The sequence below is a fragment of the Homo sapiens genome, chromosome 5 (genome assembly GCF_000001405.40).
Source record: "Homo sapiens chromosome 5, GRCh38.p14 Primary Assembly".
Lineage (NCBI taxonomy): Eukaryota > Metazoa > Chordata > Mammalia > Primates > Hominidae > Homo > Homo sapiens.
In genome coordinates this window covers 58,617,987-58,633,346 of record NC_000005.10, presented here as the reverse complement: position 1 = coordinate 58,633,346, position 15,360 = coordinate 58,617,987, and the positions used below count along the sequence as shown (strand labels likewise).

The 15,360-nt window shown below is 39.3% G+C and overlaps 1 protein-coding gene across 2 annotated transcripts in view; it reads right to left on the bottom strand.

Moving 5' to 3' along the window:
- The window catches only part of RAB3C (RAB3C, member RAS oncogene family), a 277,243-nt gene that overhangs the window by 226,048 nt on the left and 35,835 nt on the right, over positions 1-15,360 (bottom strand). The window lies entirely within an intron of this gene.

Genomic DNA, 15,360 nt, shown 5'->3' with positions numbered 1-15,360 from the left:
TTTCCATAAGATCTGCCATCTCTAAAGGGGCTTACCCCATGGATGGAGTCTGCCAGAGATGTGTCTGTAGGTTCTTCTGCCCTCATTCTAAAAGATGTTGTAGAGCAATGGTTTTCCAGGATGAGCCCTCTCTGCCTTCCTCTAGGTAAGGGGTTGGGAAGTTGAAGAAATGAAACCGTATGCTTCCTAGCCTGCTGAAAACAGGTCAGTTCCCTCTAGTCATTGGAATTTTCCATATGCCTTCCTTTAAAGACATGACTCCATGACATAAAAAGAAATTTGCAAATCACTGTGGGAAATGCCAAAAAGCTTAAGGAGACAAACATCTCTTTGGTTGAGACAGAGATAGTATTAGAACCTCCCATTTTGCTTCATGTCCAGTTCAGAGACTAGAATAGAAAACTGAGATGAAGGTGAATGGAGAGAAAATGCTTCTAAACTTCAATAGCTAAGAATGTAGTGAATAGGAGGAAAGAGAAAGAATCCAAAGCAAAGTTAGCAATCAGACAGAAGTGGGACTGTATTCAGTCATGGAGAGAGGGAAGGGGATGGTAATAGGCTGGTAGGGAAAGAAGAGAAGGGGATGAAAGAGCAAGTAGAACCATTGTCAAATACAGTATGTCAGAAGCTCTTAAGCTTTGATGCTATTCTCCAGGCACATATACCCTCTGTCCACAGCCACTCGAAGAATAGGCCTACAGCCTGCTGCCATATTTGGGCCAATCTAAGACTGTTATCTGGCTACAGAAAACAGAAGGAGGTCTGAGAAAAAGACCTTGGTCTGCCCCTTCCCCGATCCATCATCAATGTTTATAGACTGAAGTAGACCTCCCTTCAGCCCTCCGTGAACAGACACAATATGACAGGATGAACTGTTTCTCAGAATGGCAGTTATCACCTGGGAAGTTTATTAGAAATCCATATTCCCTGCTTCTGTTTACAGAGAGATATGAATTCAGTAGGCTTGACATGGGGTTCAAAATCTACAGTTATAACAAATTCCCCAAGTGATTCCGACAAGGGACTGACTCTGGGACCACACTTTGAGGTCTGTAGAGACCATGGTTCCTATGTTAAAATTATTGACCAGACACTCCTCTGGGAGACAATGGTTCTGATAAACCCCAGCGTAAAAAACTGTTCACCCAGGCTTCTAGTTTCTACAGCCTTCTTTGTCTGGTTGCTTTCATATGTGAATCTCTCTCATATTGTGAGATCAGGCCATCTGCAAACTTGAGTGCCTCCCAACTGTAGAATCACTTTCATGTGTCACCATCAAGGCCAGGCTGAAAGGTCTCAGCAGATCTGGATTTTCACCAGTCTCTGAGTAAGAAGCCTCTCTCCTTTAATCTCTGCTTTCAGCCTTTATGTCATTATAAAACTCAATTTAGAATTTCATTCTCAAAACCACATGTACAGAACTTGCTACAGCATTTGCAGAAGCTAGCCATACAGCAAAGTAAGAAAAATGCTTTCAATTCTCACTCTTTTATTATATTTCCAATTGACTGTAAATTTGTGACAAATTAAGTGGTAGAGATAAAATATTCTGAGTTTTGTCTTAACCTGAAGGTTAATTGCTTTGCAAAATTTGAAGAGAGGAAAAACCCCAAAAAACAAAACTATTACCTTTTTCCTTTCTTATAGTAGGAGGACAGATCCATTGTTTAATTAAAATGAAATAATTTATATCAGTCCATTTCTCCCCCTCAATTACAGTAAAGTGTCAATAATATGCCTTGTGAGTCTGAGTCAGCCTTCACACAGGGACTCTAATCTGAAGAGTCCAGGGAAGATGACCCATGATTTAACTTGTTGCTGAAAGCTCATTCATTCCTTTGCTTCACAAACTACTATTTTAAAATTTAAATACCATTAAATATTTGAGACATTAGCCTATCAGTCATGCATAACTTCATGTAATTGAACATTTAGCTTCTGATAAACTTTGAAAGACTGGGATTTCAGATTCCAGGAGCTTGTTTTCACCAGCTATGCTCCCTTTTTCAGAATTTTGCCAGAAAACCCAATGGCTTCTCCACTCAGTTGCCCAGTTTGTAAAGCAAATGGAGGATGGAGGAAGGAGGATTCATCATATTTGTCACCTGCCTCTCTTCTCAGAACTGGGAAGACTGTTGCTCCAGTGAGCCAGATTTGAGCAGTGAGGTGGGGCCACAGGACCTATTTTCCAGTCCTTTGCACTTGCTGTTGCCATATTGTTGAAAATAACTGGTATAAAGGGTGTGTATTTGTGTTTTCATTTACTCATTCTCTCACTCAGATACTGCTGAAAAATAAGAACTTCTCTCTGGTTTAGTCTTCATTTGCAAGACCTGCACTCTTCGTCCTGAGCCTCAGACCTGGCTTCCAGGGAAGCCACCTATTGTCAGAAGATCTCCTGCCTTTAATCTGCCAGCATATAGGAGTTTTCCAATCATTGACAACAACAAGGCCTCTTTATCAAGACAGACCTCTATAAAGAAGTGCCCCTTGTGATAAATGCCAACACTGCTGTAGTCTTCTGCTAATATTATTAATGATTTATATGAGTGCCTTCTATGGTCTAGAGCAGTGGTATTGAAAATGTGGTCTGAAGGTTCCTAAAGTCTTTCAGAGGGTCTCTGAATTGAAAACTACTCTCACAAGAATACCAAGTTTTTATTTGCCTTTCTCATTGTCTTTCTCCCATGAGTGTACAGTGGAAATTTCCAGAGGTTACATGATGTGTGATACAGCAACAGGTTGAATAAGGAAACAGATATGAAAAATCAGCTGTCTTTGATTAAGCCAGATATAATGAGATTTTTTTAAATGCCACTTTTCTCACTAATTGTACTGTCTTTCAAAATGCAGTTATTTTTCATTAAAATATGTTCTTTATGTGTACATACAATGGGTTTATTGTTATTTTAAAATGAAAATAAATATTTTTAATTTTCTTCATTTTAATTTATAATACATTAAATATCAGTAGATATAACCCACATAAAAACAAGGTCATTGATGACCTCAATAGTTTTTAAGGGTGAAATGAGTTCAAAAAATATGAGAACACCAAAAGAGGCACAATACACATGTTAGGTAATTCCTTAAAACAGCCCTACAAGCCAAATATATTTTGCCTGCAAGGCAAATATTATTATCCTTATTTTATAGAAAATTAAAACCAATGCATTACAGAGTTTAATAACTTGCCTAGAGCCAAGCTATCAGACACCCAAAACCCTTTACTTTTTCTTGTGCTATCTCTCTTGCTGCTCTTATTAAAGTTGGTTCTGAGTTAGGTATATTTGTGAGACTCAACGTACAAATAGACAACACCCAGAACACATGTAAAAGCAGAACTTTGACCCACAACCTGCAGCAACCTTCCCAGGAAACCAACCTCCTTATCTACAATAAACACCAGGAAAGCCAGCCTGTTAGAAGTCAGACTTGCGGGAAGCCACACTGCTCTAATTAGTGACAATCTTGGAGGCTTAGCAAAAACTTTTGTAATAATTTTCCCAAAAGGTCCAGGACTTGATTAATCACTGACAGCTTCCCCAATTTTTGTCCCTGCTTCCAATTTAGGATCAATCAAAGAAAGCAAAATATGCACCACCAGCCAATAACATAGGATGTCTCACTTCTTGTTAGCATGCCTACAGTTTCCCCATGCTAACAGCCTGCAACCAGGGCATACATAAACGCTCCCCTTTTTTCCATTATAAAGCTTTCCCACTCCTCTGCTTGCCTTTGAGTCTCTGCCAAAATGCAAGTGATGGTGGCTGATCCCTTTGCTATAGCTAAGCCTATTCTCATTTGGCTGGTCTTTTGTTTATTTCCACGCCTGTTTCTATGTCATTATTTAGTAAGTTACTAGAAGATAGGAAGCTTAAAAACTCTTGGCTCCCTCTCCTCCATGGCCTAGCACTTTGCGTAGCACACTGCAGTCATTCATAAATGTCTGGTGCTTTAAGCTGCACCAGGAGTTGTTTGACTAAAATACAGCCCCTGCCTGGCTCTCCAGCTGCTTCCTTTATACTGTCCAGCTATACATAGCCCAGGGGCGTCTATACTACCCTCCACATCACTGAATCCCAGATATTTGGGCTTCCAAAACCAAAATAATGTTAATAAATAAATACAAATGGGTAATTGACGGAGGATTGCCATCTCCAACAAAAAAAATTTAAAAAAATCTACCACCTGCCAGATTACCAAAAGAGTGAGAAGAATTTAATTATAACAAGTAATATTCTTTTCAAGTGTTTTTAAAAATTAAATAAATAATTAAATAAATTTCACCTTTTTTTTTTTTTTTTTTTTTTTTTTTTCCAGAAGTGAGGTCTCACTATGTTGCCCAAGCTGGTATTGAACTTCTGGGTACTCAAGCAATCCTCTCGCCTCCACCTCCCAAAGTGTCAGGATTACAGGCATGAGCCACCATGCCCAGCCCTTTATAAAAAACAGATTGACTTATCTTTTGGAGGAAACATGTTTGTCAGAGGCCAGTGTGGGTCGGCTGTTGTTGTGTGGGAACCTTGCTCAGGCAGCAGGGAGCGTGCTCAGCCTGGCAAGGCGGAAGGCACCCTCTGAATCCCAGCCCTTCTTTCTTGTGCTGGATATGTTTCTTTGCTTTCCAGATCCACTCCTTACCAAATCTCACCCTACCCTGTGCTCCGGGGACTAAGTTTTGTGAACTGCTAAAACAGAGCAGTTGCCACCCTGTTCCACTAACCTCAAGGTGGGTTCAACCCATGAGAAGCACAGGCAAGAGATCAGAAGGTGGGATGAATGAGAGGTCCAAGGCATCTGTGGCCCCTTCCATGATGAGCTACTGATTGGCAGTGGCTGTGTTCTAAAAGGCCAAGGCTCTAATGTAATGTCCTTCTCCTATTACTACAGCTACAGGTCTTTCCTAACTGCTCTTTCTCTGTTCCCTTCAGTCCAAGGGGGTGGTAATGACTCTCTGATGCTAGCTCTGGAGTCTGCATCTTCCCTTATTACTTCCCTAAGCCTGCACACACCTTTGTAAAATCATTAAACTCCCTAAAATTATCCTCTTTGTTTTTCTCCAAAACCCTGTCTCATACTTTACCTACTTCAACTCTTTTTTATTTTATGTCTCCTTTGTACTTTTCTGTTGTTTCTCTATTGTTTCTCACACGATGCTTTGTAAACTGTTTTTTTTTTTTTTTTTTTTTTGAGACGGAGTCTTGCCTTGTCGCCCAGGCTGGAGTGCAGTGGTACGATCTCGGCTCACTGCAACCCCTGCCTCCCAGGTTCAAGCGATTCTCCTGCCTCAGCCTCCCAAGTAGCTGGGACTACAGGCGCCTGCCACCACGCCCAGCTAACTTTTTGTATTTTTAGTAGAGACGGGGTTTCACCGTGTTAGCCAGGATGGTCTCAATCTCCTGACCTCGTGATCTGCCTGCCTCAGCTTCCCAATGTGCTAGGATTACATGCGTGAGCCTTTGCGCCTGGCCCCGATGCTTTGTAAACATTTTTAAATTGATTTAGTTGCTCCAGAGATAGTAAAACAAGATGGAGACCTTGCTTTCCTTCCCTTCATATGCATCAGCACCTTCAGCAAAGTGATTTGTATCAAGTGATGCTCACATTTGCTATCTCTTATCTCGCTGTTTAGCTGCCACAGTGGCAATGTTCAGGACTAGCAAAATTAGTGTTAGGAAAGTAAAAGCACAAGGAAAAAGAAGAATATGCCTACTACTGAAAATAAGTACTATCCAACTAGAAAAATGCTGTACTTTTTTCTTAAGTCTGGCTTGAAAAATAAATATGGGGTAATTAAATGCTTAATTTGCACCGAATTTAAGCTGTGTTTTTTTTTTTTTTTTTTTTTTTTTTTTTTTTTTTTTTTTTTTTTTTTAAGACGGAGTCTCGCTCTGTCGCCCAGGCCGGACTGCGGACTGCAGTGGCGCAATCTCGGCTCACTGCAAGCTCCGCTTCCCGGGTTCACGCCATTCTCCTGCCTCAGCCTCCCGAGTAGCTGTGTTTAATGCCAGAAAAACTGGTCAGTTCAGTATAACTGTAAATGAATCAATAGAAAAATAACTACAGGTGACCTGGTGGCATGGACACAGCTCACATCTTAGACCAGAAGCTGCTGACATCAGTAGGCAATATCCTGAGGAAATCATATCCCAATAGGTGAATTACAGCTCTCTGTGGATCCAGTGATTTATAATTGTTTTGCTCTAGGGCAGGGCATCAATTTTATGAGCATTTAATAAATAAGCTGTATGGTTTTGCCTTTCCTGTGCAGTTGATGACTCTATTTAAATGCATAGATGGCTCCAAAACACCAGGAAACACCTCAACAACACAGCTCACTGCACTTGGGCATATTAAAATTTACCAGTGGTTGGTGAGAGCAATCCAGGTGATCCAGAGAGCAATCCAGAAGATATGCCACCTTGTCAATATGCTTGTATATATCATTACTTCAGGACACCAAAATTGAAGTTCTTCATATAAATACCTGCCTGCAAACTGGCAATTTATTTACCAAAAAAAGTACTACTACTTGCTATTTCAGAAAGTATGGCGTTAAATAGGTTTGGCCCATAAAATAAAGGCTGTTGAGAGAAATAATAATGATTTGTTTCTTGAGTACTTACTATATGCCAGGTATTGTGCTAAGAACTTTGTAAATATCATTTTATTTCATCTTTACGATAAGACTATAAGCAAAATATTATTATTGTCCCCAGTTTACAGATGAAAACACTGGCATGGAGAAGTTAATTAACTTGTCCAAGGTCATAATATCCACAAATCTTACAGCCATAATTTGAACTCAGACAGCCTGGCTTTGGGGCCCATTCTTGATCACAAAACCACTGTGTGATATTTTTGTCTTAGGGGGATTTAGAACCAAGTAAGTCTAGAATAGGCCTAATATAAAAGTAACACCAATGTGTTCAGGCAGATTAAACATTTTGGTTGGTAAATTTATGAAGATTACAAAACAGTGCAAAGGGAGGCTTCTGTGAGACTAAATTAGATCTCCCCAGTGCCCCTACTACAAAGCTCATGCATACTAATTTAAAAGATCTTCATACCTACATATTGAGCCACTTTCCTCTCAACTTGGCTAACAAATGACAATGAACATGGTTTATAAGAAAAAAGAAACTTAATGAAAGCTAAAAATTAGAATGAGAAAGGAAAGCAGCTAGAAACATGAAGACGGACAGTTTGACACTGAAGAAAGAAAAGAAAACATACTAAGTAGAACCAAGTATACAGAAAACATCATCAGATGCTGATAATCCTGAGCGTCAAGTTGGCTTATCTTTCATGTTCTTTTTTTCCCTTATGATAAACAAATGTGCAGCACATATTAGAAGAATTTTCATTAAAAGATTTAATTGGTTTAAAGTTCTCATAATGTGAAGCTTTACTTACCTGAAATTTCAGTTACACAGAACTGCCGTTCTCTGTTACCAAAACTATGGTATTCCAATTTTTTTTTTTTTTTTGAGACAGAGTCTCACTCTGTCACCCAGGCTGGAGTGCAATGGCGTGATCTCGGCTCACTGCAACCTCCACCTCCCAGGTTCAAGCGATTCTCCTGTCTCAGCCTCCTAAGTAGCTGGGATTACAGGCGTGCACCACAACACCCGGCTAATTTTTGTATTTTTAGTAGAGACGGGTTTTCACCACGTTGGTCAGGCTGGTCTCAAACTCCTGACCTCGTGATCCACCCACCTCGGCCTCCCAAAGTGCTGGGATTACAGGCATAAGCCACAGTGCCCGGCCGGTATTTGAATTTTTAGAAGCTTTGAGAGCTGCTTAGCAGTCTTGGGATAGAAGTCCTGTAGGAATTGGGCTGACTAGAGGATCATGAAAGAGATTAATCTGGATGGAATATAATGTCATGATTTGTCCATTTTACCTTATGTATTCCTGGAAAAACTTTTTCCTCCATTGATTGTTGGCTACCATTTGATTTATTATTTTAATCAGTTATAAGGCTTGAAGTTACTCTATAAGCAGTATAAAGAGTTATGTGACCAGGGGGGAATTATTTAAACTCTCTGAGTCTTGGTTTCCTCTTACCTTATAAAGAGCAATATTAATACCAACATTTTGAGGTTAAAAATAAAATTTCCAGCATTGCAAATAAAATATGCACAGTGGCTGGTCGAGAGCAATTACTCAAATGTTGTACTTATAGAGAAAGGGTGCAGCAGAATGGATTAAGAGAAAAAGCTCCAAAGCTAGGTGGTCCATACTTAAATCTGCTAGCCACTTCTTGTCTATGTGACCCTGGGCAAGGTATTCACACACTCTATGCCTCAGTTTACTCATTTGTAAACTAAAGACAAGAATAGCATCTATCTCACAGGGTTTTTGTGAGGATTAGATAACTCACTACCTATAAACCACACACAGCTGTATGTGGCACATTAGGGATCACTGAATGCCAGATTGGGGGTTTTTTTTGTTTGTTTTTTTTTCAGTTGAGTGGATCCTCTTCATTTTACAGATCAGATAACTGCTTCCCAGAAAGGTGAAGTCATTTGTCCCAAGGTTACACAGAGAGGTCTCAAATCCAGTCTCCTGCCCCGATGCCTCTTCTTTATCCCACTGTCTTCACACATCTTTGCCTGCATGTTCCACTGTACATTGCTCTTTGGTACTAGTTGTCAATGTTTCCCATCTCCCACATGTGTCTGTCAGTCCCTATAGAATCACAGGTAAATTTTCGACAAAAGTAGAGGTGGATTTCCATGAAGCTGATTAAAGATTAGGCTTTGGGTACCTTCCAAGTGGGCTTTAGCAATGTGTTTGTATGGTCACCTGCTTTCTGTCACTTATTCATAAGAAAGACATTGTGTATCTTTTTCCTTAAAGAGGACTGGCAAACTGTAAAAGCTTCAAGCCCCAACAGTATCAATCCACCTCTGCTCAAACAGGGGCAAAATGGGAGGAAAATCAGGCTTTGTTAGCTCAGTTAGCATCTTGTATCAATCCGCACTGATCACCTAAAATAGGCTTCCCCTTCCCATTGTTGTTACACCCAGGAAACCTTCCCGAGTCCCCAGGATGGTGTTGGGCATCCTCCCTGTGTGTGCTGTGCTCAGGCCTTTTGGACCATTTATAGCAGCAGTGGAATTCGATCTCCTTATGGCTCCATATGGCAGACCCTTGGCGTGCTCTACCATTATATGTCCAATGCCTGGCACAGTGCCTGGCACACAGTAGGCACCAACAAGTATTGGATTCAATTAAATTACTTAATTGAATACAAAAGTCTGAATTTTGGTACACTATTTTTAGAAAAGAAGAAAACTAACATTTGTGAGTGCCTGGTTTGTGCCCAGTATTGAACTAAGTATAATTTACCATAGCAAATACTTAACAGCTCAGGGGTAGGTGTTATTTCCCCCCACTACATAAACGAGGAAATGGAAGCACAGAGAAGTCAGGGCTTGAGGTCAAACCCTAGTGAGAATCAGGGACAACATTTGAACCCTGGGTCACCAGACTCCAAAGTCCCTGCTCAAGCCACTAGGCCACTCTACCCCTTGGCAGAACACAGTTACTGATCCACAGGTTGATCCTTTCTTCTATGTTTGTTTTCCTGTCTTCCCATGCAGTTGGTAAGCTCTATTAAGCCAGGAACAATGCCCGTACCATCCTTTGTATTTTGTCAATGCTGAGAAGAGTGGTTAAACACAGTGGGATGTAGGAGCTCCTGCGTTCAGCTGCCTGACAGAGTGAATGTTTTCAGGCATCTTGACATTTCAGACACAGTATCAGCTTTCTCTCAAGAGTAAAACTAAATCTTGCCTTTCTCAATCTCTCAGGAAAAGCAGATGCTAAGTTAGAAGAAATGTGATGGGGGAAAAGAGCATACAAATGACAGCACCAAGAATGGTCTTGGCAGCTGTCACTGGCTTTGGTGGTTTTCTTAAGAAGCTTGCCTGGGCAGAAAGTGTTGTTTCCTTATAAATAGACCAGAGGACCTGATTGTTTTCCTGGAATCAATGGGTAGGGTGACTAGGCCACCTGAGCACCAAATGCAAAGATTATAGGCAGAAATATTTTCCTGTAGGTATTTATGCCATTAGACTCCTTCTTTCATGCCCTTTTCTTTATGTTCACGTTCTCCAACAGCAGAAACAGCATTCCAGAAATGTGCAGGAAGAAGTTAGTTGAATGTGTTCCAGTCCCTCCTTCTGTGCATATCTATGTGTTTTAAACACAAAACAGATAATGCACAAAGTGCTCATGCTGCCAGATAGTAAGTTCCAAGCAAAACAACTGGTTCTTTTCTGTAACTATAAATAATATCTTGGACAGGTCATAAGAAACTACTGAAAGATACTGAGTAATTATACAGCATGGAAAAAGTACTTGCTATGAATTAAAATATGTGGAATTTAATATCAGATCTGAAACTTCTGACAAATCACTTGGCCTCCCTGGATCTCTTCTACCATGTGGTCAAGTACATGGGCTTTGCGCTCAGTGCCCAGGTTGGAATCCTGCTTGTGACTATAACCTTGGGCAAATCACTTTGTCTTTCTGGTTTTCTGTTTCCTTGCTATAAAAGAGAGCTAATAATACCACCTTGGTTTATTTGGTTGTTGCAAAAAATAAATTTTAAAATGCATGGAAACATAAAGTGCTTATTTTATGGGTCAGCACTGGGCTTGATAAATGTTGCTATTATTAGTAGTATCATCAAATGAGGAGGTTGAGCCAGAAAATCTGTCAGATCTTTTCCTGACTCAATGTACTAGGTCTCCAAATACTGAGACCCAAAAATATACCAATCCTGTAGTGAGACAGTTGGGAATCACAGCATTTGTCAGAGTGAAATTAGTGACAGAGACTGCCCCTGAGGCCCCAAGAACTTTCCCTCCATATTAACCATGTCTTTTATTTTTAGATTTTTTATTTTTTGTATTCTGATGCTTTGACATTTGGGGCCTCACTGATTCTGCAGGGACTGACCCTCCCAGGATTAGCCAGTTTCTAGAGATAGTAAACAACTTACTGGAGCACTCTTTTCAAAGGCAAACCAACCAATCCAGAGCACACACTCCCAACCACCTCCATTATAGGGCTTTCACACTCTGGGCCACTATCCACCTGCCCTAATCGCTCCAGGACTTATTAAGTGCCAGGCAACTGAGGGATCGTTCCTGTGTCCCAGAGTAAGTTGAAGTTGTTCAAACTAGCTAATCTGAACCCTGCGTACTCTGACCCTCCCATTCTTTCCTGCTTCCACAGAGAGGAGGTGTAACGCATTCAGGAAGTATAAATGTGTCTATTACTTGTTAAAATGCTTTATTTGAATGTAGACTGTTGCAAATCTACTAATCCAGTTTGAAGAATCAGAAAATCCCTATGCAGCACGTGACAAGAAAGCAAACCATCAAGTAGAAAATGAGGAGCGCTTTCCCACTCAGGCTCTTCCTTCCTGACCCAGTAAAAATGCCACTTGAGGCCAGGCGTGGTGGCTCATGCCTGTAATCCCAGCACTTTGGGAGGCTGAGGCGAGTGGATCACTTGAGGTCAGGAGTTTGAGACCAGCTTGGCCAACATGGTGAAACCCCATCTCCCCTAAAAATATAAAAATTAACCAGGTGTGCTGGCACACACCTGTAATCCCAGCTACTCTGGAGGCTGAGGCTGGAGAATTGCTTGAACCTGGGAGGCAGAGGTTGCAGTGGGCCAAGATTGCACCACTGCACTCCAGGCTGGGCAAGAGGGTGAGACTCCTTCTCAAAAAAATAAAAATAAAAACAAAAATCATACTTGAAACCTGGCCTCAAGTTTGATTTTTTTCTATAGCTGGAGGATTCCACTGACAACCAGGTTGAGATTTATTACAATTTTTGTCATACAACACTTACCTTGAGAAGAAGTATAATGTAGTAGAAACCAGACTAGCCCACCTAGCAGGAGACCTGGATTTTAGGCTCTGCTCTGGTACTAACTGTAAGGTAAGGTCAAATCGCTTAGCCTCTCTATATCTTGGTTTCCTAACTTAGAAACAGTTCTATTTGGGGGCAGTTTAAAATGAATAGAGTGATCCAAATTAAATCAATGTCTGAAACCTGTCTTGGTAGAGAAAATGGTATAGTGTTTCAACCCACGATGGCTTTCATACTATGAAACCATTTTGCCTCTTTTCTTTGAAATATATAATAGGCTAAGATGATGTGGATCTTAATGAATTATTTACACATAATATAAATGCATAAAAATACTATAAGTTGGGAAGAGCAGTTCACTGCTTGGTTATTAAAGCACAATGAGATGACAAGCCATCTGTGCTAAATATATTTCCAAATAAGTGATTTGTGAGAGTTGTTAAACAATCATAACTACCTACAACTAAATAATTTCCAGCACACTTATATTATAGCATAATGCAAGGATTCCTGGAATTATCATAGGAATGCCTATACTTAAGCATACCACTGTTGCTCCTCATTATTTCTTCTCCTGCATGCCTTCAATGTGAACTCTTTCAAAAACATTTCACCATCCCAGATGCATCACTCAAGATTGCCATTTTCAAAAAAAATAACCACCACATTAGTCAAGAAGACTCTTAATTAGCGCAGTGTTAGAATGTGATAGACCTAGCTTGGAATCCCCTCTTAGCCATTCAGCATGTGCAACCCTGAACAAGTTATTTCACTTATTTAACTGTCCTACATGCAGATTTCTCAGGTAAAATAGGATAGTAATAAATTAAAAGTTGGGTTGTGAGAATTAGAAATAAGGCAAAGATAATGCCTAACATATGGTATGTATTCAATAAATGCTAGCTATGCATAATATTTATACAATTTGATATTTGCTTATAGAAGTACATAATTATCCAACGAGTGTTAATTTCCTTTTCTAACTATACTACAAGTTCCATAAGCACAAAATCTTTGTATTGTACTTCTTTTAAATGTTTCACAATCTAACAGACCACAATAGTACATATAATAGTATACAGTATTGTATACACTATTATAAAACTGATTTTCACACTCCTAAAATCAGATGTGCCTTAAGAGCTCCTAATGTACCTAAAGAGGAAGAAATTGGATTATGTTTTAATTGCAATGATAGTAATGGCTATTAATCTACTATTGTGACTGACGATGGGGGAAAGTGAAGGATTCCCAAGTGGCTGAACCCTGATGGGAGTGTGGGCATCCACAGAGCAGGAGAATGGAGGCCCTAGAATGAGGTCCCAGGCCTGACTGTCTATAGACTTAAAGGGTTTTTTTTTTAATAAGAAACTAGTAGATTGTAGAAGATTAGAGGCAAATCTGAAGATAATAATATTTCAGAGACTTTTTCATGAACTTATGGAAACTGAGCAGCATGAGGAGGTATTAGAGTAGAAGCAGCTCAGGGATCTGAGCTTTGGTTGGCTCAGAGAAGAGCTATATTCATCCAGAAGTGAGATGTAGACATAAATAACTTATTTCAATGCCAAAAAAAAAAGGTGAGTGAATTAGCACTGGCCTGGTACCAGCATTGTTTTAAAGAAAATAATTTTTAAGTGTGAAAAATAATTTATATTATTTGAAATATATCTGATTTACATTGAAGATAGATAATTTTGCACCTCAACAAAGAATTTCTGTCAAAAACCTACACTGAAAATTTGCCAGAAATTATAAGACTGGCTTAACACACCATGCTGATGCTTTATCTAAATGATTCTAACCACTATTTTTAATTATCTCTATGACAGAAAGAAGAGAGGAAAAAGTGGAGCTATCAACCAGAGGAATGATTGTTCTTTCATATTAGTAAAAAGAACATTGTCATGGAGTTAAGGGATGTATCGTTTCCAAATTAATTTAATTTTCCATTCACCAAAGCCCCTGAGAATTAAGGAACCTTCCTTAAAACTTAATACGAAATGTATCATATAACAATTGGATTGCCTGCAATTCAAAAGGAAGAGAATGAATCAGGACCCATACTTGAAGCAATGGACAAAGCTTTTTCTGTCTCCATACAGAGGAGTGTGTGATAGGTATCTCCATTAATTGAGGTCAAGTTTCTGAAAAGGAACACTCCCAATAAAAATGGCTTTGGGGAATGATGGAGCAGGGAATATGCCCAGCCTAAGGTCTACTTGTACAAATTCTTACGTGATTTATAATTAGATTTGAAAGACTCTAGAGTTAGAACAAGTAAAATAGTAACAGCCTATTGTAAGCTACATAAGAAGGTACCTGTCTGTGTATATACCTGCCTCTTTAAATATTACTTTAAATTTCTACTTTAATAAGACCTTTAGGATGTGTAAAGGTCATTCAGTTTATACAGATTTTTAAATAAAGGGCTGTTTTCTTTTTTAAAAAAGTTAAAATCCTCTACTCTGCGATTTGTTTGTTTTTTGTTTTTAGCTTTCCATATTTATGAAGGGAGGGTTATTGTCAGTCCTATTGATCAATCCTGGCACCAGCACCAAATGGTAGTAGCTGTTGTAAATGTCTCAGAAGGAGCTAGAAAACACCTCTTGGGAAATGCCTGATTACAGATCAAATCAATTTGAGTGGCAGAGGTACAAAGGAATAGGAAAAAGGTGCCAAAACTTACTGTAGAAACATTCTTCCTATGTACATATTACGATGTCCATAAAATATTTACTACATCAGTCTTTTTTGGTGTAACAATTTTTTTAAATTGGCTGCTCCATCTTTTATATTGCCTTGGACCTGCTATCCACATAGATTTTCCTCTGTTTTTTGCTCACTGGTCTCCTAAATTTATCCCACCAGTTTGGCTAAGCTACCTCTGATCTTCTTCTGGAGGTAAGGAGAGGCAAAAAGCTAACCAAATGGTCTCAAAACTTTGGGAGAACCTTCTACTTTGGAAAGACCCTGTTTCAAATAAATATTTCATTTCATTTGTTTTATTTGCATATATAAACATAGCTCTTAGAGTTGAAAACAGTTTGCACAGTATAAATAGACCATCTCTGAAGTTCTATCTGGAGCTTTATGAAGGGTCTAAACCTACACTTTTCCTATATTTGGTTGTTTATCTTCTTCTTTGAAATGCCCAGGAGAGGCTGCTTTCTGTGACCTAAAAACCCAGAACCACTTAGCTTATTTTATAGATTACAAAAATGTCAGAGAAGGAGTCACAGACTTTCTCAAGGTTACAGAGATCATAAAAGGCAAAGCCAGACTTAAAGTGTTCCTTCCACCACCAACAAGATAGAGGTTTGGATTTTTTTTTTATTCTGAAGACTCTTAAGGAGCACCACATGACAACAAGGCATAATAATAATTCACCCCTCATGTCTTAAAGAGGCATCACCACTACTTTCTTTGAAACAGAATGTTCTGCAGCAAAGAAGCT